General features: G+C 41.9%; 1 protein-coding gene across 9 annotated transcripts in view; it reads left to right on the forward strand.

The window, feature by feature from the left end:
* Nucleotides 1-17,111, forward strand: part of ZNF26 (zinc finger protein 26) — a 40,736-nt gene extending 23,625 nt beyond the window's left edge. For 7 of the 9 annotated variants that reach the window (NM_001330514.2, NM_001256279.2, NM_001330513.2 and 4 more), the window contains one exon: nt 145-17,111. In NM_001330514.2, the coding sequence (NP_001317443.1) occupies nt 145-1,490 (1,346 nt within the window). In that variant the 3' untranslated portion in view covers nt 1,491-17,111. The remainder of the gene's footprint in view (nt 1-144) is intronic. The other 2 variants (XR_007063124.1, XR_007063123.1) reach the window with 1 other exon arrangement.
* Nucleotides 17,112-22,192: the final 5,081 nt, after the last annotated feature.

The following is a 22,192-nucleotide window of genomic DNA, read 5'->3' on the forward strand; positions in this document are numbered from 1 at the left end:
TTGGCCAGTATTTCTTTTGAACCAGTGTGGTAGGCTTGTTACCAAAAGAGAAAGGTTGATTACATCACAGTCCTAATACTGTTTAATTCCATATCAGGTTTATGTTATGATTCAAAAAGTTATATTTTGTTTGTTTTTTTGTAGATGGCTGGGAAGAATGGTACCAGAACAATCAAGATGAGCTTGAGAGTATTGAAAGAAGCTATGCTTGTAGTGTGTTGGGAAGACTTAATCTGAGCAAAACCCATGATTCTTCAAGACAGAGACTCTATAACACACGTGGAAAAAGTTTGACACAAAACTCAGCTCCAAGCAGAAGTTATTTAAGAAAGAATCCTGATAAGTTTCATGGTTATGAAGAACCATATTTTCTTAAGCATCAAAGAGCTCATAGCATAGAAAAAAACTGTGTGTGTAGTGAATGTGGGAAAGCTTTTCGTTGTAAGTCACAGCTCATTGTACATCTCAGAATTCATACAGGAGAGAGACCTTATGAATGCAGTAAATGTGAAAGAGCCTTCAGTGCCAAGTCAAACCTTAATGCTCATCAGAGAGTTCATACAGGAGAAAAACCCTACTCATGTAGTGAGTGCGAGAAGGTCTTCTCTTTCAGGTCACAGCTCATTGTCCATCAGGAAATTCACACAGGAGGGAAACCCTATGGCTGCAGTGAATGTGGGAAAGCCTACAGTTGGAAATCACAGCTTCTTTTACACCAGAGAAGTCACACAGGAGTGAAACCGTATGAATGCAGCGAATGTGGGAAAGCCTTTAGTTTGAAGTCTCCATTCGTTGTACACCAGAGAACTCATACAGGAGTGAAACCCCATAAATGCAGTGAATGTGGGAAAGCCTTTAGGAGTAAGTCCTATCTCCTTGTTCACATCCGAATGCATACAGGAGAAAAACCCTATCAATGCAGTGATTGTGGGAAAGCCTTCAATATGAAGACACAACTCATTGTACATCAGGGAGTTCACACAGGAAATAATCCTTATCAATGCGGTGAATGTGGGAAAGCCTTTGGTAGGAAGGAACAGCTCACTGCACATCTGAGAGCTCATGCAGGAGAGAAGCCCTATGGATGCAGTGAATGTGGGAAGGCTTTCAGCAGCAAGTCATACCTTGTTATACATAGGAGAACACACACCGGAGAGAGACCCTATGAATGTAGTTTGTGTGAGAGAGCCTTTTGTGGAAAATCACAGCTGATTATACATCAGAGAACTCATTCAACTGAGAAGCCCTATGAATGCAATGAATGTGAAAAAGCCTACCCTAGGAAGGCATCACTTCAGATACACCAGAAAACTCATTCGGGAGAGAAACCTTTTAAATGCAGTGAATGTGGAAAAGCCTTCACTCAGAAGTCATCTCTCAGTGAACATCAGAGAGTTCACACCGGAGAGAAACCATGGAAATGCTCTGAATGTGGGAAATCCTTCTGTTGGAATTCAGGGCTTCGTATACATCGGAAGACTCATAAATGAGAAATCAGAATGATGCAATGTGAGAAACTGATGTTCAGGAGACTTCGGATAATATAGACAGGATTTACAAGCAGGAGGCCCTAAAATTACACTCATGTCAAAAATCAGAGAGGAGAGAGACCAACCATATTTGGGATGAGTGTAAAAGCTTTCAGAAATAAGTTACAAATCTTTGTAGATGAAAATAATGGAAGGAATGTGGAGCAATAAATGTATCAAATGTTGTAGTATCATCATGAAGATTCAGAGAATTTACACTAGGAACACCTTATAAGTTGAATAAATTAAGGAAGCATTTTCCCATTGAAAGTGTGTTCCATGGAAAGTCACATTCCAGATTTGAAGCTGTGTTTTTGTAAAATAAAATCTTGGTATGAACAGTTGACTTCATGGTGGAGTATAAAGTTGTTTTTTTAAAAATATGTAAATAATGTTCAGGAAAAACGCAGGGAACAGAGTCTTAAAGTTAATGGATATTTAATGTGACTTTCCTGAGTTAACACTGAATAGTATTTCTAAAATTTTTTGTACTTTATTTTTTAATGTAACTTGTTCTATCTATCTATATATATATTTGATAGTTTGTGGAATAATATCCCCCAGTATTTTCCATATTAAATGCTAATTATCTTTTGATTTCTTTTTCATAAGCAGATCTGGCATTTATTACAGGGCTGCCGCTTAAGAGAACTCATTATAATGAACGTTTATTATATTTTGCAGTTCCATGCCTGTTGTCCATTGATTGACATGAGCACCCCTGTTTTCTCTGGAGAAATACCTCCCCTCTCTGGGGTGCTTCCTGTGGTAGTGTCTTTCAGGTATCCGTTCCACTAGCTACAGGTGAGCATTTTACCCATTGTTGGATAATGGTAATCTCTTTTTCAGAATTTTGAGTCTGTAATTCATTTGTACATGAACCAGAAAATGTGGGAACTCATTCATTCTTGTCCCAGAATTCTGTTGAGAACATCCATTCATTCTGGCTAATTGATTACAAGAATAACTGTGGATACGATCCCTTTAGAACCTGCTTCTCTGATCTGTGTGTTTCCTCACTTCTCAATAAAAATGTCTTTTGCTTTTTGTTGTTTGGGTTTTTTTTTTTTTTTTTTTTTTTTTTTTTTTGAGACTAAGTTTCACTCTTGTCCTCCAGGCTGGAATGCAATGGCATGATCTCAGCTCACTGCAACTTCCACCTCCTGGGTTCAAGCAATTTCCTTGCCTCAGCCTCCCAAGTGGCTAGGATTACATGCCTGGCTAATATTTGTATTTTTAGTATAGACGGGGTTTCACCATGTTGGCCAGGCTGGTCTTGAACTCCTGACCTCAGGTGATCTGCCCACTTCAGCCTCCCAAAGTCATGGGATTACAGGTGTGAGCCACCGAGCCCGGCCAGCTTTCTATTTCTTATAACCTAAGGGCTTTAACTGATCAGTTGTTGCCTTGGTAGCATGTAGTTAACAAAGTGGGGTATATGATTTAGGTTTGTTTGTTTTTCCTGAGACAAGAAAATCACATTCTTGTTTATATTTGAAGATAGCAACTTTTAGCCATCATGTGAAATATGGTTATTGTTTCTGTACACCTGGAACGTTGTAGTGCCTGATACTGAAATTTTGGAAACACTGAAGAATTATAGCATTATAAGAATTTTAAATTTATGAGAAAATCTGAGACAGGGGCAGAGATGGCTGATTTTGATCTTGCTGGATCTTAGACCATGAGAATGACAGGCCTGAAGCCCTGAAATCTCACCTCAGGGTGGAGTGTCAGACTTGGCAACTTTGACATTGCTGAAAAAGTTTCTTACAGCTGTAGGAGTGAGGTGGTGGGAATCAAATAGTATATTTGGCTTGGTGAATTAAAGTCAGTTCACCTCAAATGTTTACTAAATCCCTTAATGTAAACATGTGTTGAAAAAGTTATCCTCACCCTTCCCCCCCTCAAAAAGTTATCCCTTGATAATTTGAATAGGAATATCTGGGAAGAACCTGAGGACTCAGCCTAGCAAGCTCTTGTGATAGACTTTGAATAGCAGTATCTGCGAAGAACCTGAGGCCTCAGCCTAGCAAACTCTTCTGATAGACTTTGAATAGGAATGTCTGGGAAGAACCTGAGGACTCAGCCTAGCAAACTCTTCTGATAGACTTTGAATAGGAGTATCTGGGAAGAACCTGAGGACTCAGCCTAGCAAACTCTTCTGATAGACTTTGAATAGGAATGTCTGGGAAGAACCTGAGGACTCAGCCTAGCAAACTCTTCTGATAGACTTTGAATAGGAGTATCTGGGAAGAACCTGAGGACTCAGCCTAGCAAACTCTTCTGATAGACTTTGCACTGCAGATGCTTCATTTAAGGCTATAGAGTAGATGTTGGCAATATATAAAATTCAAACTTGAGTGTCCATAAATAACTGTTGTTGGAACATGGCTAAATATATTTGTGTATTATTTGACTGCTTTTGCACAGCCATGGCACAGTTGAGTAGTTGAGGTATAAAAAACCTGCCACCTCCTGATACAGATAGAACCCCTTCCCTTTTCTGGGAAAATGTGGAATTTGCCTTGCAGGAGGAAGCTTATTCTGCCAGTTCCCCATGGCTTATTTTTACCAGTTTGGTAACAATAATCTACACTAAACATGCCCTGGGATGGGATTGCTCATTTAGGAAAATATGTAGAATTCATAGAGCATTGCAGGAATGAGTAATGTATCAAAACTTCTCAGCATGACAACACCCAGGGCAACGTGACAAAACCCTGTCTACAAAAGTTTCTTAAAAGCTGGTTACAGCGGTGCACACCTGCAATCCCAGCTACTCAGGAGGTTGAGGCAGGAGGATCACTTGAGCCCAGGAGGTCAAGGATGCAGTGAGCTGCACTGTACTCCAGTCTGGGCAACAGTGAGACCCTGTCTCAAAAAAAAAGTTGGGGGAGGGGGTAGATACTTGTGAAATCCTTTGAGGGTGTTCAGTGAAGGGCAATTACTTACAGCATATACTTGGTGCACTGACACCCAGCAGTGATGATGGTTTTGCTTTCTGTTTTTTTTTTTGTTTTGTTTTGTTTTTTTTTTTTTTTGAGACGGAGTCTTGTTCTGTCACCCAGGCTGGAGTGAATTGCACAATCTCGGCTCACTGCAACCTCCGCCTCCTGGGTTCAAGCGATTCTCCTGCCTCAGCCTCCATAGTAGCTGGGATTACAGGTGTGTGCCACCGCGCCTGGCTAATTTTTGTATTTTTAGTAGAGACGGGGTTTCACCACGTTGGCCAGGCTGGTCTTGAATTCCTGACCTCAGGTAATCCACCTGCCTCGGCCTCCCGAAGTGCCGGGATTACAGGCGTGAGCCACCATGCCTGACCATGATGATGGTTTTAAAAGTTAGCTGTAGCAGCTAAGGCAAGACCAGATCCAACACTGGCTTATGGCAAGGGGAAGAACAAAAGTCAGGAACTTTGCCATAATCTAGAAGAAAGAATGATAATGCTTTGTGACATGCTGGATTGTATCCATTATGTGTTCCTAAGACCCTCAGCCCTCTCCCTCCACCAAGACCCAATAAAAGTGTGTTATTGAAAGTAGTAGCTACTGGCCGGGCGTGGTGGCTCACGCCTGTAATCCCAGCACTTTGGGAGGCCAAGGTGGGTGGATCACAAGGTCGGGAGTTCGAGTTCAGCCTGGCCAATATGGTGAAATCCCGTCTCAACTAAAAATACAAAAATTAGTCGGGCATGGTGGCGGGCGCCTGTAATCCCAGCTACTTGGGAGGCTGAGGCAGGAGAATCGCTGGAACCCGGGAGGTGGAGGTGGCAGTGAGCAGAGATTGCGCCATTGCACTCCAGCCTGGGTGACAGAGTGAGACTCTGTCTCAAAAAAAAAAAAAAAAAGAAAAGAAAATGACAAACACATGTTCTGTGTATATGACACAATCCTAACTGTGGCATGTATCTATGTCTTCACTTGCATCGGCCTCAATTATCAACTTGTGGCAAAAGAATAAGAAAGAGAACTAAAAAATGAAAAAAAATAAGATGCTTTCCTATGGTCCCAGCTACTTGGGAGGCTGAGGCAGGAGTGTCGCTTCAGCCCAGAAGGTTGAGGATGCAGTGAGCCATGATTGTGTTTCAGCCTGGATGACAGGGCAAGACCTCATATCTGTAAAAAGTAAAAATAAATAAACAAACTATATAATAATAATACAGAAGACAAATGTCAATGTTGCTGAAAAGCCAAAAGAAGCCAAGAGGACAGTCTTCTGAGTAGAGGGCATAGGAGTTCCCAAAGAGGAAAGTCCAGTCTGAGATCAGGCTGGAGGCCAAAAGGAACTCTTGACCTGAGACAGTTGGAAATATTACTTCTACTGGCAAATAAAAGTGCTTCAAGCAGACGTTTATTTAGAAATTCATGCTGCATGTTTATTGATGGAATGTTTGTGTGACTCTTTAATAGAAGTCTGAACTAGGTATGCCATATATTTCCATATATCTTCATTTGTCTTGGGGGTAAGTGTTGAGAGAAGGAAGTGGCTTTTGGTTTTGTGAGTGTCTTGAAGATCTAAGGTTTATTGTGAAAAAGTGTAGGGGTAATTTTTTTTTTTTTTTTTTTTTGAGACAGAGTCTCACTGTGTCACCCATGCTGGAGTGCAGTGGCGTGATCTCGGCTCACTGCAACTTCCGCCTCTGGGGTTCAGGTGATTCTCCTGCCTCAGCCTCCTGAGTAGCTGGGATTACAGGCACCTGCCACCACACCTGGCTAATTTTTGTATTTTTAGTAGAGATGGGGTTTCACCATTTTGGCCAGGATGGTCTCAAACTCCTGACCTCAGGTGATCCACCCGCCTTGGCCTCCCAAAGTGCTAGGATTACAGGCATGAGCCATCGTACCCGGCCAGAGCATCCTTAATTTTTAAAAACAATTTAGCTACTTTTTTTTTTTTTTTTTAACTATTTTAAGAGCATCACAGTAAAAGGAAAATAACAGCTCACTTTGGGGCCAAAGTCTAAAATTTAAAATCAGCCCTACTCTGGCTGGGTGCAGTGGCTTATGCCTATAATCCCAACACTTTGGGAGGCAGGAGGATCACTTGAGCTCAGGAATTTGAGACCAGTCTGGACAACAAAGCAAAACCCCATCTCTGAAAAAAAAAAAATACCCCGGGATGGTGGCTTAGGGCTGTGGTCCCAGCTACTCTGGAGGCTGAGGCAGGAGGATTGCTTGAGCCCAGGAGGTTGAAGCTGCAGTAAGCCATATTTGTACCACTGCACTCCAGCCTGGGTGACAGAGCAAGACCTTGACTCAAAAAAAAAAAAAAATTCTACTCTCTTGGTATTTGTAATATGTTATGAGATACCATCATTGGAGGTTGTAAGGATGGGAATATTAGTTGAAAGTCTGATATTTTATCATTGAGTTGCCCTTTTCCAATTTTACATGCTTAGGTTGACTTCTCAATAGCAACAGTAAAAATCAGAAGACAGTAAAAGAATGTCTTCAATGTTCTGAAAGAAAATATCTACCTAGAAGGGTTATTCACAAACCAGGGTGAAATAATGTCATTTTAAACAAAATATTTAATACCAAGAAAGTTGGAAACATAAAAAAATAAAAAGTCATGCTCGGCCAAATCTAAACAGACTTAAAAATTATAAGATGTAATTTGATGGTACAAAAATATGGAAATAAGCCCCAGAAAATAACAGTATGTAACATTGGAAGAAGTCTAATAATTTTTAGGGGAGTAGAGATTCTGATTATCCCACATGGCAGGGCATTAGACAAGGAGACCCACTTTACCACAGATAAGGTTCAGTGGTGGTCCCATGACTGATCTATTGGTCACACCTTATGCTTACCCCACCACCTAGAAGCGGCTGGTGTGACAGAGCATTGGATGACCTGCTGAAGGTGGTTTGAAGTACCAGCTTAGTGGCAGTACTTGACAAGCACAGGGCACCGTCCTCCAAGATGCAGTCCTGGAATCACAGACTTTTATCTGGTAGTGATTCCTCAATAGGGAGTGTACACAGGTCCAAGAGCCAAGGAGTGGGAACGGGATCAGCTCCACTTAACATCATTTCCAGTGATCAGTTTGGAGACTGAAGAGCAACAGTCTGAGGAATGACCCCAGGCAGTAATTTGTTTCCACAGAAAAAACAAAGAGCACCAGTAAAGGGTAATTATGTAATAATAAAAGATAGTGCAAGTGCAGATTTCTTATTTTATTAGTAACTGATTAATAATTATAGGCCAGGCGTGGTGGCTCACGCCTGTAATCCCAGCACTTTGGGAGGCCGAGGTGGGCGGATCACAAGGTCTGGAGGTCAAGACCATCCTCACTAACATGGTGAAACCCCATCTCTATTAAAAACACAAAAAATTAGCGGGGCGTGGTGGCGGGCGCCTGTAGTCCCAGCTACTCGGGAGGCTGAGGCAGGAGAATGGCTTGAACCCAGGAGGCAGAGGTTGCAGTGAGCCGAGATCACGCCACCGCACTTCAGCCTGGGCAACAGAGTGAGACTCCGTCTCAATAACAGCAACAAAAAAAGCAATTATATAAAACAATATGCAGTACTGTTTGGACTATAACATACAGAAGTGTAATATGTCTACCAATAACACCACAAAGGAGGAGGATGGGAGAAGAGTCGTGTTGGGGTAAGGAAATGGCTCTAGATGGCAACTTAAAGCCACAAGAATAAGCTGAGAGAACCAGAAATAGGAAATAAATAGGCTACTGTAACAAAAGCTGTTAATATATACTTTCTCTTCATCTCTCAGCCTCTTTAAATTATAAAATATATAAAGCAATATTTATAGCAATGTGTTGTTGCATTTGTAACATAGATATATATATCAATACCAGCACAAAAGTCGGGGTGGGGGCTAGAACTATATAGGAATAATGGGTTTATAAAAGTCTTATTGGAATTAAGGTAGTATAAATCTGAAGTAGACTCTGATAAGTTAATGTGTATTTAACACTTCCTAGAACAAACACTAAAGAAATAACTGCAAAAATATTGTAAGGAATCATTAAATAAATAAAATATTACATTACAAAATATGCACTTAAGACAAAAGTGAAGGAGAAATAGATGAACAAAAGATACATGAGACATAAAATACAAAAGGGAAAGCAGCATATGTAAATCTAACTATATCAATAATAACTTTTTTTTAAGAGGGTCTTGCTCTATTGCCCAGGCTGGAGTGCAGTTGCATGATCATAGCTCACTGCAGCCTTGAACTCTTGGCTTCAAGCAATTCTCCCACCTCCCACCTGGCTATTTTATTTTATTTTATTTATTTATTTATAGAGATGGAGGTATCAAACTCCAGGGCTCAAGCAATCCTCCCATTCTGGTCTCTCGAAGCATCAAGATTATAGGCATGAGCCAGCGCACCTGGCCAGTAATAACATTAAATGTGAATAGATTAAACTATCAAAAGACACAGATTGTCAAAGTGGTGATAAAAAAAAATCCAACCATGTACAGAAGACATACATACATACTCAAAGATACAATTGGATTAGAAGTAAAGGATGGAAAAAGATATAAAACGCAAACAGCAACCATAATAAATCTCCAGTGGCTTTCTAATATCAGACACAATAGAGTTTAAAACAAAAGTTTTACTAGAGATAAAGAAAAGTATTTTGTAAAGATAAGTCATCAAGAAGATGTAACAATTATAAATAGACAATTGGGATTACATCAAGCTGGGAAGCTTCCATACTGCCGAGGAAATAACAAAATAAAGAGACAACCCACAGATTGGGAGAAAATATTTGCAAACTATCCATTTGACAAGGGGTTAATTGCCAGAATATACAGGGAGCTCAAACAACTCTATAGCAAAAACAAAGAAAAATAACAAAAAAAAAACCCCAAACTCCAGATATTCCAATTATAAAGTAGGCAAAAGATCCAAACAGACGTTTCTCAGAGAAGACATGCAAATGTCTAACAGGTATATGAAAAAATGCTCAATATCACCACTTATCAGAGAAATGCAAATTAACCACAATCAGATATCATCCCTCTTCAGTTAAAATGGCTTGTATCAGAAAGACAGGAAAGAACAGATGCTGGTGAGGATATGGAGGAAGGACAGCCCTCGTACACTGTTGGTGGGAGTGGAAATTAGTACAGCCACTATGGAGAACAGTATGGAGGCTCCTCAAAGCAACTGAAAATAGAACTATTATACGATCCAGCAACCCCACTACTGGGTGAAAAGCCAAAAGAAAGGAAATCAGTACATCAAAGAGACACCTGCACTCTCACGTTTCCTGCAGCACTATCCACAAGAGCCAAAAAATGAAATCAGGCCAGGCGTGGTGGCTCACGCCTGTAATCCCAGCACTTTGGGAGGCTGAGGTGGGTGGATCACTTGAGGTCAAGAGTTCAAGACCAGCTTCACCAGCCTGGTGAAACCCCGTCTCTACTAAAAATACAAAAGTTAGCGGGGTGTGGTGGCAGACACCTGTAGTCCCAGCTACTCGGGAGGCTGAGGCAGGAGAATCACTTGAACCCGGGAGGCGGAGGTTGCAGTGAGTTGAGATTGAACTGCTGCCCTCCAGCCTGGGCGACAGAGTAAAGCTCCATCTCAAAAAACAAAACAAAAAAAAAATCAGAGCCCATCAACAAATGGATAAAGAAAGTGTGATATATATAAACACAGTCAATATGTCTATTCAGTCATAAAAATAAAATCCTGTCATTTGCAGCAACTGGGATGGAACTGAAAGCCATTATAATAAGTGAAATAAGCCAAGCACAGAAAGACAAATATTGCATGTTCTCACTCATATTTGAAAGCTAAAAAAGTAGACCTCATGAAGATAGAGTTGATGGTGGTTACCAGAAGCTGGGAAGAGGGGGAAGGATGAAGGGGAAAAATATGAATGTATCTATTATTGCTGAACTGTACACTTAAAAATGGTAATGATGATAATATTTATAATATATTTACATTTTGTTTATATATTTATATTTTGCCTCAAAAAAGGCAAAAAAGAAGATATAATAATTATAAACATGTATGTACCTAATAACAGCACCAAAATACATGAAGCAAAATCTGACAGAAATGAAGAGAGACAACTCAACAATACTAGTTGGAGACTTAATATCCCACTTTCAATATTAGAACAATCGTATAAGTTGTCTAGGACTGTCGTAACAAAGAACCACAAACTGGATGGCTTAAACAACACAGATATATTGTCTTACTGTTCTGGAGCCTCCATGTTTGAAATCAAGGCATTGACAGGTTTTGGTTCCTTCTGAGGGCTCTGAGGGAAGGATCTGTTCCAGGCCTCTCTCCTTGGCTTGTAGATGGCTGTCTTCTCACTGTCTCATCACATAATCTCCCTTCTATATGCACATATCTCTGTGCAAACGTCCCCTTTTTATAGGGACATCAGTCATATTGACTCCTAAGTCCTCATTTTAACATTGTTAACTCTGTACAGACCCTCTCTCCAAATAAGGCCTCACTCTGAGGTATGGAAATTAGGACCCCAACATATCTCTTTGAGTTGGGGGGACACTACTCAACACTGAAGTGTTTAGGGATGTCGAGAAATTATGCCTCCAACCTATGCTCATACATTTTTTTTTTCTTTTTCATTTTTTTTTTTTTTTTTTGAGACGGAATCTCACTCTGTCACCAAGGTTGAAGTGCAGTGGCACCGTGTCGGCTCACTGCAACCTCTGCCTCCCGGGTTCAAGTGATTCTCCAGCCTCAGCCTCCTGGGTTCAAGTGATTCTCCAGCCTCAGCCTCCTGAGTAGCTGGGATTACAGGTGCCCACCACCACGCCCAGCTAGTTTTTATATTTTTAGTAGAGACAGGTTTTCACCATGTTGGCCAGGCTGGTCTTGAACTCCTGACCTCAGGTGATCCACCCACCTCGGCCTCCCAAAGTGCTGGGATTACAGGCGTGAGCCACTGTGCCCTGCCAATGCTTATACATTTCAAGAAAAACATTTATTTGGCCGGGCATGGTGGCTCACATCTGTAATCCTAGCATTTTGGGAGGCCGAGGCGGGTGGATCACCTGAGGTTGGGCGTTTGAGAACAACCTGGCCAACATGGTGAAACCCCCGTCTCTACTAAAAATACAAAAATTACCCAGGCGTGGTGGCAGGCACCTGTAATCCCAGCTACTTGGGAGGCTGAGGCAGGAGAATTGCTTGAACCCGGGAGGCAGAGGTTGCAGTGAGCCGGGATCACACCACTGCACTCCAGCCTGGGTGACAGAGTGAAACTGTCTCAGAAAAAAGAAAGAAAGAAAAACGTTTATTTGTAGAGAAAGCTAACATGGTAAAAATTTGAGGAATATTGGTAAAGAATATTTACAAATTCATTATCATTGTGTAAATTCTATATTACTTTTTAAACTTTCATGTTTTGTGGAGTCATTTCTAAATCAAATCATTAAAAAGAGGCCAGGTGTGGTGACTCACGCCTGTAATCCCAGCACTTTGGAAGGCCAAGGTGGGCGGATCACTTGAGGTCAGGAGTTTGAGACCAGTCTAGCCAACATGGTGATAGCCCCTGTTTACCAAAAATACAAAAATTAGCCAGGGTGGTGACGTGCACCTGTAATTCCAGCTACTCGGGAGGCTGAGACGGGAGTATCACTTGAACTCGAAAGGTGGAGGTTGCAGTGAGCCGGGATCACATCACTGCACTCCAGCCTGGGTGACAGAGTGAGACCCTGTCACACACAAAAAATTAAAGTCATTAAAAAGAAAAACTGAATTTTGCAAAATTATTGGATGTCAGTATATTCAAATCAATTTTATTTCTATATATCAGAAAAATAATATAAAATGGGATTTAACAAATTGAATCAATTTTCAGTGGCATCAAAATACAAAATAGATACAAATCTTATGGTGTTGGAACTGTTCAGCATCTTGAAGGTGGTTGTTGATACATGAACCTACACTGGTGATAACATTGAACAGAACTTAATATACACACATACAAAGTATAAGTAAAACTGGGGAAATGTTAAGTATTGTGTGTCAGTATTCTGGCTGTGATATACTGTAGTGTTGCAAAATGTTAGCATTGGGGGAAACTGGGAAAAGTGTATAAGGGATCTCTGCATTATTTTGTATACTCTAGGTGAAACTATCTCAATACAAATTTAATTAAAACAAAATAAATCTGATAAAGATGTAAAAGAATAAAGAGACTATTATCCAGTTGATAAAATATGCAACTATGAAATAAACTGAATAAATTGAACAAGCTTGAACAAATTGAATCATCAATATGTTCAAGTCCTAGACATTTAATAGTGATAAATGTTATTCCCCAAATACTGTATGTAGTATAACATCTTTGTTAAAGGCCAAGATAAAGCAAAATGGAGTTATATATTGTTTAGGCATATGTGTTTATGTGACAAAACAACGGGGAAAAAAAGCTAGAAAATGATAATCAAAATCTTTAGGATAGTGTCTACACCCTGTGGAAGAAGCAGTGAGTTGGAAAAAGGGAACACTAAGTAGAGGCTTCAAGTTATTTTTAATTTTCTGTTTGGGTGAAAGATTCAAGAGCATTCGTGAGAATGTACTTGTAACTAGTATTTGATGAACAGGGGCTATACAACAGTTTAGATTTTAAAAAATTATGGGAGAATACTAAGGATAACCATACGCCAGTCAAATAAAAATAGATAACACATTTTTCAGTTTTCTAGAATACTGCACATTATCAAAACTGACCAAAGCAGAAAAAGCAAGACTGAATAAAATCAACAATAAATAACAAAATTGAATTGGAGTATCAAAAGCTTCCCTCAGTGAAATATAGCAAAGCCCAGATGGATGTCCAATAAAATTTTAGCAAACATTAAGGACTTGATTATCATTATGTAAGCAGTATTAGAGAATTTTTAAAATATAGATTACTTCCAAATTCACCTAGAAATTCTTTTATAACCTTTACACCAAATCAGGATAGAGACAGTAGAAGAAAAAATAAATACAGGTCAATCTAATATATGAAAATTTTCTGAGTAAATGAAATCCAGGTCTCTTTCGCCATACATTTGTATATGAGGTTGAACCATAGGAAATTACAATAATCAACCATGTTTTACATATGTGGCAGATTTTATTTTCTGAAGTGGGCTATGACAGTAGCTTCCATCTCATCTCCTCTTCTACAGTGTGATCTTGCCACTCCTCCCACTTATAGTCTTGCCCCATCCTTTGAGTTTTGTTGGCTTGTGAGTCACTTGTAGCCAAAAGAATGTGGAGGAAGTGATCATGTAACTTCGCAGGATATAAAAAGCCATGCGGCTTCTGCCTTGATTGCAGAGATCCTTCATTTGCCATGTAAGCAGTCCTTGAAGCTGCAGTACTAGGAGGAAATCTCAAATAATCCATATAGAGAAACCACATAGAGAGGCTCTGAGATTACATAAAGAGATGCTTGTTCAGCCCCATATGCTCCCGTTCCATGCCTTTCTGGCTCCATGAGAAATTCTGACCCAGAACGGCTCAGTCAGACCTCTCCTGAATCCCTGACAAACAGGAACCATCAGAAATAATAACGTCTTTGTTGCTATTTGTGCTATAATGTTTTGAGGTGATACGTTAGACTACAGTAGTGATTGGAATAGAAATTTAGTGTTGGAAGTGGGGTTCTACTTACATGCATCACTGGCCTTGGCACTGGATGATGAGCAGAATCTGAAAGGCCCTTGAGTAAAATATCAGTAAAACCCAGTGGGCTTTGGGGATGGTATTAGCAGAGTCTAAAAGTCATCAAGGAGGTTGCTGGTGAGAGCTTGAAGGAACACAAGGAAAGCATTATTGAAACATGGAGAAAATGAGACTTTTTTATGTAGTGACAGGTGTATCAACACTGTCACCTAATGTAAATGGAAAATAGAAGATGTACCTCATGACCTCAGTGATAGAGCTAAGTGTTTTCTAGACCCAGTGTTCAGGATGCTACCTGGCTCCTCATTGCTTATAATAAAATGAGAGGAAAGAGAACTAAAAAATGAACCATTCCATGGAGGAAATGGTAAACAGTCTTTTCAGCTTGTAAAGCATTCTCAAAGTACGAAAGCTCCTCAGGGAAAAGATGTAATCCAAGGCTGGCTATAATACCCTTATGTAAGATTCCAGAAAGATCTGAAGCGGTGCCTCCTGACCCCCTTCAATGAATAAACAAAAAGGACTTCTAAGGACTTGAGAGAATGCTTCTGTGAGCCCTCTCTCATAAGCAACAGAACTGCTAAGAATTTTAAGGGTGAGGTCCCACAAAAGGCCCACTGAGAGCCCATAGTAGAGAAAGTCTTATTAAGAGATTTTTGGGGTGTGGCTTTTGTCTAATGGAATGGGTTGTACACAGATAGCTAAAAATCCCACACGTTCTTAAAAACAGTGATGCTAACTTTACAGATAAGGACAAACTGTATAAAAAAAGATATTTGAACTCTCAACCTTTTTGCTCAGGAAGGAGGTTGAGAAGGATACTCACTTGCAAACATGGTCACATTTTATGAAAAACCATGGATGACTCAGAGAGCAGAACTAAGATCCAGAGGGTAGAGCAAAGAGCCATGGAGGAGAAGTCCAAGAAAGCAGAACCAAACCCTAATCACCGAACTGGTAATGGGTACCCAGTAGGATTTATGGATTTCTATGGAACAGTGACTACTCTGTGCCTCCTCTTGTCCCCATTTTTGAATAGGAGTATTGGTAACAGTTTTTCTGTGTCTGCCCCACTGTTACGTTCTGGGTGTGTAAGATGAAAATAACTTGTCTCATATTTCACAGGCATTCAGATTGGGAGAAATAGCACCTCAGGAACTGCATCCTCAAGAGTCCCATCTGCACCTGTAGCAGAGTTTGACGATGAGATCCTGGTCTTCAATCTGATATTATAACGGGATGAGACATTGGGATCTTGGGGGAGGAGATGGCTGTACTTTGCATGGGGGGGATGTGAATTGTTACAGCCAGAGGGCAGACCGTGGTAATCCCAAACATGGCCAAAACAGTATCTCCTATCACACATTCTCTTCCACAGTGTGCCTGCTATATATTTCTCCCATGAGAGTTGAGGTCGACACCAGCTCCTTGAACCTGGGTGGACTTGTAATTTGCCTGTAGCCAACAGAATGCAGCAGAAATAGGCCAGGTGCAGTGGCTCATACCTGTAATCCCAGAGCTTCAGGAGGCCAAGGCAGGAAAATTGCTTGAGCCCAGGAGTTTGAGACCAGCCTGGGAAACACAGTGAGACCCCGTTTCTATTTAAGAAAGAAAAAAAAGAATGCAGCAGAGATGAAGCTGTGTAACTTCCAAAGCTAGGTCATAAAAGGTGATGCAGCTTCCATCTTGTCACTGGAATTCACACTCTTGAACCATTCAGCAGCCATATAAGCAGTCCAATGGCCCTGAGCTGCCCTGCAGTAAGAAAGCCCAAACTAGCTCACACACAGACTACATCAAGAGTGAGAGATGCCTAAAACACCCCCAGGCATTCCAGCCCCTTCTGTTCTAGATCTAGCCTTAGAAAAAGCTGCCTAGCTGAGCCTATCTTGAATTTCTGACCCAGGAAACTATTAGATATAATAAGTCACTTTTTTTTTTTTTTGAGATGCACTCTCACTCTTTCCCAGGCTGGAGTGCAGTGGCACGATCCTGGCTCACTGCAGCCTCCTCCTACTGGGTTCAAGCAGTTCTCTGCCTCAGCCTCCCAAGTAGCTGGGATTACAGGTGCTCGCCACCATACTTGGCTAATTTTTGTATTTTTAGTAGAGATGGGGTTTCACCATCTTGGGCAGGCTGGTCTTGAACTCCTGACCTCATGATCCACCTGCCTCGGCCTCCCAAAGTGCTGGGATTACAGGCGTAAGCCACTGCGCCTGGCCAATAAGTCTCTTTTTTTAGGTAATCAAGTTAAAATAATAAGTCACTAAATTTTGAGGTGTTCTGTTATGTAGAAGAGTGACTGGACCAACCCATAAAAAGGACAACTTCATATAGTTCAACTTTTTTTTTTTTTTTTTTTTTTTTTGATACAGAGTCTCGTTCTGTCACCCAGGCTGGAGTGCAGTGGCATAATTTCAGCTCATGGCAACCTCCGCCTCCAAGGTTCAAGTGATTATCATGCCTCAGCCTCCCAAGTAGCTGAGATTACGGGCACCTGCCACCACGCCTGGATAATGTTTGTATTTTTAGTAGAGGTGGGGTTTCACCATGTTGACTAGGCTGGTCTCGAACTCCTGACCTCAGGTGATCTGCCCGCCTTGGCCTCCCAAAGTGCTGGGATTACAGGCATGAGCCATTGCATCTGGCCTAGTTCAACTTTATAAATAAATATGTCAAAGATAATTCAATATTAAAGTTTATATATTTATCATTTTAACCAAATAATGTAGAAATAGAGTGATATGAAACATAAATACCTATATAGGTTAAGAAAAATATTCAATAAATTGGAACAATTCTTTGTTATAAAATTCTTAAGAAACTCAGAATAAAATGCAACACCTTTTTACGATTATAAACCCCTCAGCAAACATACTTCAAGCAGAACCTTACGAACAGTATAATTAAAATGAGGAACCGCTGAGATCACTGCTCTCTCATTATTTCTCCCGGCGTTGAGCTGGAGTCCTAACCAATGTGGTAAGACAAGGAATGAAGATTAAGAGGTATATGGGCTGGAAAGAAAGAGGAATGTTTGTGGTTATTTGCAAGCAAGATCTTGTGATGATTAATGTTAGGTGTCAGCTTGACTGGATTAAAGGATACCCAGATAGCTGGCGAAGTATTATTTCTGGCTATGCCTGTGGGGGTTTTTCCAGACGAGACTGGCATTTGAATCAGGTAAGGAAGATTCACCCTCACCCAATGTGAGTGGGCACTGTCCAATCTGTTGAGGGCCCAGACAGAAGAAAAAGGCTGACGAGAGGTGAATTCTCTCTCTCCTGGAGCTGAGACATCATCTTCTTCTGCCCTTCAACATCAGAACCTAAGGTTCCTGGGCTTTCAGCCTCCAACTGGGAGTTATGCCACAGGCTTCCCTGGTTTTGAGGCCTTGGTACTTGGACTGAGCCACTCTTCCAGCTTCCCACCCGGAGTGGGAACCTATGGTTCCTTTTCCTGGCCGTCCATGGCCGCCCATGAACCAATCGGCAAGCACTTCCTCCTCTCTCAGACCCGTACAAACCACAGGCTCAGCCAGAGGTGATCAGATGGGGGACCATCTGCCTGCAGAGAGGAGCCAGTCACTCTAGGGCCTCCTCTCTGCTGAGAGCTGAGCCCTCGTCAGGACAACCAGCTGCAGAGAGGAGGTACCCTCTGTGCAAGGAGCTAAACACTGGGGGACACGCTAGCTGCAGATAGGAGCTGCCCCCTGCGGTCTCCTCTGAGCTATTCTATCACTCAATAAAGCTCCCCTTCGTCTTGCTCACCCTCACTTGTCTGCCTACCTACTTCTTTCTGGTCGCAGGACAAGAACTCAGGACCCGCTGAATGGCAAGGCTGAAAGAGCTGTAACACACACAGCTGAAACATGCCCCTTGCTTGCCACATTGTGGGTGAAGAGAAAAAGAGAAGAGCTTCAGCCCTTCGAGGAGCCCAGACCTGGGAGATCTTTGAGCCAGGGCTGTGACTTCCTCTTTGGGGACCTGTGGTGTTTGGGGTCTCCAAGCCTTTGGGCAACACCGCATTCTCCAGTGCCAGCCATGGAAGCTGCTTGTGGTGTCCCTAGTCCAGCCGCAGCCTCACAGAGAGCTGGCACCCCTGCTGGCACCTGGAGCTGCCTGCCCCACAGCAGCAGCCAGTGTGTCGGTGCAGTGGCTGAATCCCATGCTTGCTCACACACCCCTTGCTGCTCCACACCTGACTCTCAGTCTCCCTTAGAGGTGTGGGATCTGGGCTGGTAGTGTGAGCTGAGAACAGCATGCTAGGCCAAGGGGGCAGAATGAGCCCAGCGAGCCTGAGCAAAACTCGAGCAAAGGTGCCACTGGCCACAGAGGTTCCTGACAAGAAAAGTGACACCTCAAAGATCCCATAACATTTTTTTTTTAAGAGTTTCGCTCTTGTCGCCCAGGCTGGAGTGCAATGGCGCAGTTGGCTCACTGCAACCTCTGCCTCCCGGGTTCAAGCAATTCTTCTGCCGCAGCCTCCTGAGTAGCTGGGATTACAGGCATCCACCACCACGCCTGGCTAATTTTTGTATTTTTAGTAGAGACGGGGTTTCACCATGTTGGCCAGGCTGGTCTCGAACTCCTGACCTCAGGTGATCCGCCTGCCTCGGCCTCCCAAAGTGCTGGGATTACAGGCGTGAGCCAACACTCCTGGCTTCTCATGACCTTATTTAGCCTTAATTATTTTATTAAACATTCCACTTCCCAGTACAGCAACACTGGGGGTTAGGGCTTCAATATATGACTTAAGCGGCACATTCAGTCCATGATTCCACCAACTTCCAATAAGAAAACATACTATAGGCAGGGTGTGGCGGCTCACACCTGTAATTCCAGCATTTTGGGAGGCCGAGGTGGGTGGATCACCTGAGGTCAGGAGTTCAAGACAAGCCTGGCCAACATGGTGAGACCCCATCTCTACAAAAGTACCAAAAAAATTAGCTAGGCTTGGTGGCGAGCGCCTGTAATCCCAGCTGCTTGGGAGGTTGAGATGGAAGAATCACTTGAATCCTGGAGGTGGAGGTTGCATTGAGCCAAGATCATGCCATTGCACTGCAGCCTGGGTGACAGAGTAAGACTCCATCTCAAAAACAACCAACAACAATAACAAAAAATACTATAAAAAACCCTCATATTCATTATAGCAATAGAAATAAGCTACTTAGAAATATATCTTATAAAATGTTAAATTTAAAATGAGAACTGTCTGGGAATAAATCTTCCAAAAACCACATATAAACTGAAAAATTATGAATACAATAATGTTTTAAAGTTTGTAAAAGAAAAACTAAAAAATGGGCCGGGCATGGTGGCTCACGCCTGTAATCCCAGCACTTTGGGAGGCCGAAGCAGGTAGATCACGAGGTCATGAGATCGAGACCATCCTGGCTAACATTGGGAGGCTGAAGCAGGTGGATCACGAGGTCATGAGATCGAGACCATCCTGGCTAACATGGTGAAACCCCATCTCTACTAAAAATACAAAAAATTAGCTGGCAGTGGTGGCGGGCGCCTATAGTCCCAGCTACTTGGGAGGCTGAGGCAGGAGAATGGCGTGAACCCGGGAGGCAGAGCTTGCAGTGAGCCGAGATTGCGCCACTGTACTCCAGCGTGGGTGACAGAGCGAGACTCCATCTCAAAAAAAAAAAGAAAAAAGAAAAAATGGAAAGATATATTTGTTACTGAGCAATAGGCTTACTTTACAACATGCACAGAAGCCAACATTATGGTTCCCTCTTTTGAGGAAGAAAAAAAAAAAGCTTTATACCAAGTCAACTGGCAAGGAGACAAGAGGCAATGCTCAGATCTGTCTCTGTGATTGGGGTGGGTCAAGATTTTATGGCATTTCCAGCTAGACCCAGATGATGCCAATGCAGGCCTGTCAGGCTGGTGATGATAACAATTAGAAATTAAAGCTTTTTGCATTGCATGTGCCAAGGCAATTTTGGCTGTGTGTGTACCTGCAACAACTTAAGAAATGGTTAATTTGTTTGAGCTGGTCCCACAGTTACAGGTACCCCCCTTTTTGTGCACTCCTCAATCTTGAGGGAAGTGGGGTGATGACCATTCTAGCTACTTCATGCTTTCAAGTCACGCAGGTCTGAGTACAAAGAATGCATGAGTGGGGCTACTGACATACAAGATAGCTCTGCTCCATCTGTACCTTGACAAGAAGGAAAAGGAATCCCAACATACATACAATTATAGTTCTTAACTTAATTAGACCCTCAAAAATAGATCTTATCCATGATGGCATGAACAGAGGCCTGGTTGGCATCTTGAGTGAGCTGTTTCCTTCAGCTGCCCTCTGTTTCTGGCCTTCTAGTTTGATCAGGCAGAGGCTGGTTTTAGACTCTAAAAGGAATGAAAATATGGATAAATGGCTTTTCATTTATCTGGGGATCCAAGAGCCCTTTCAGTCTTTTGTTTTTTTCTGAAAAGTAACTGAAGATCAGTTAGGGGCTCACAAGTGTATTCCTGGGTGATCAGTTAGGGGCTCACGAATGTATTCCTGGGTGATCAGTTAGGGGCTCACGAATGTATTCCTGGGTGATCAGTTAGGGGCTCACGAATGTATTCCTGGGTGATCAGTTAGGGGCTCACAAGTGTATTCCTGGGTGGAGAAGTTAGTTTGGGCTTCTACAGCCATTTGGGGTTTGGATGACTTGGCCCTACTGCTTCCTGTTGTCTGTGGTAAGTGTAAGCTGTGTAATGACGGGTTGCAGAGAGTTTTAAATATGATCACATACTACTTTTTTATTGGAGATGGGATCTTGCTCTGTCACCCAGGCTGGAGTGCAGTGGACAGGTACAATCTTTACTGGTGATTGATGAACCCAGGGCTTGACTCCTTTTAACTTTATGAATGAATGAGTTACCAGGAGAACTTCATAAGGGTCCATTCCATTTGGGCTGTATTTGGTGCTCAGGGTTGTGATTTTTCCAGATTTGAAGGGGTACTTGGTCTCCTGGGCTAGGGCATTGTAAAAGAACATCTATAGGAACAAAGAATATCTATAGGAACAAAGAACATCTGTAGGAACAAAGAACATCTATAGGAACAAAGTTGCACCCAGAGACTGTGTGTGTGTGTGTGTGTGTGTGTGTGTGTGTGTGTGTGTGTATATATATATATTTATTTATTTATTTATTTTGGATGGATAAAATAACGGATAAGATCATTTTAAATATATATTAATATATATAAATAATACATATTTATATATATTTTAGATATTTATATATATTATATATATATATTTTAGATGGAGTCTTACACTGTTGGCTGGGTTGGAGTGCAATGGCGTGATCTCTGTTCACTGCAATCTCCACCTCCCGGGTTCACACGATTTTCCTGCCTCAGCCTCCTGAGTAGCTGGGATTACAAGTGCACACCACCACAACTGGCTAATTTTTTGTATTTTTAGTAGAGACAGGGTTTCACTATGTTGGCCAGACTGGTCTTGAACTCCTAACCTCATGACCTACCCGCCTTGGCCTCCCCAAGTGCTGGGATTACAGGCCTGAGCCACTGTGCCTGGCCAGACTCTACATATTTTTTGGTATCTAGTTCTTTTACAATATGACTGTCTTAGGAATTTTAACAAAATTTAGTTTTAAGGAAGGGTTGCTCATAAAGCATTTCATAGGGGCCTAATTGGAGCTTGCTTTTAGGGTGACTCTTACTGTAAGCAGGGCAATAGGCAAGACCTTATCCCAGGCTAAGTTGATTTCTTGTTTTGGAATTCAAAATTTTTTTTGTAGAGATGGGGAGTCTCGCCATGTTGCCCAGGCTGGTCTTGAACTCCCAGCCTCAAGCGATGTTCCTGCCTCAGCCTCTCAAAGTGCTGGGATTACAGGTGTGAGCCACTGCACTTAGCCACAGTTAATAAGTTGGTTTCTTAATTTCCTTTTTCCCGGAAGTCAGCAAACCTCTGTCTTTCCATATGCCTCCCATGCATAAAAAAAAAAATGGACAACTTAAGAAACAACCCCCCAA

Source organism: Homo sapiens, chromosome 12, assembly GCF_000001405.40.
Source record: "Homo sapiens chromosome 12, GRCh38.p14 Primary Assembly".
NCBI lineage: Eukaryota > Metazoa > Chordata > Mammalia > Primates > Hominidae > Homo > Homo sapiens.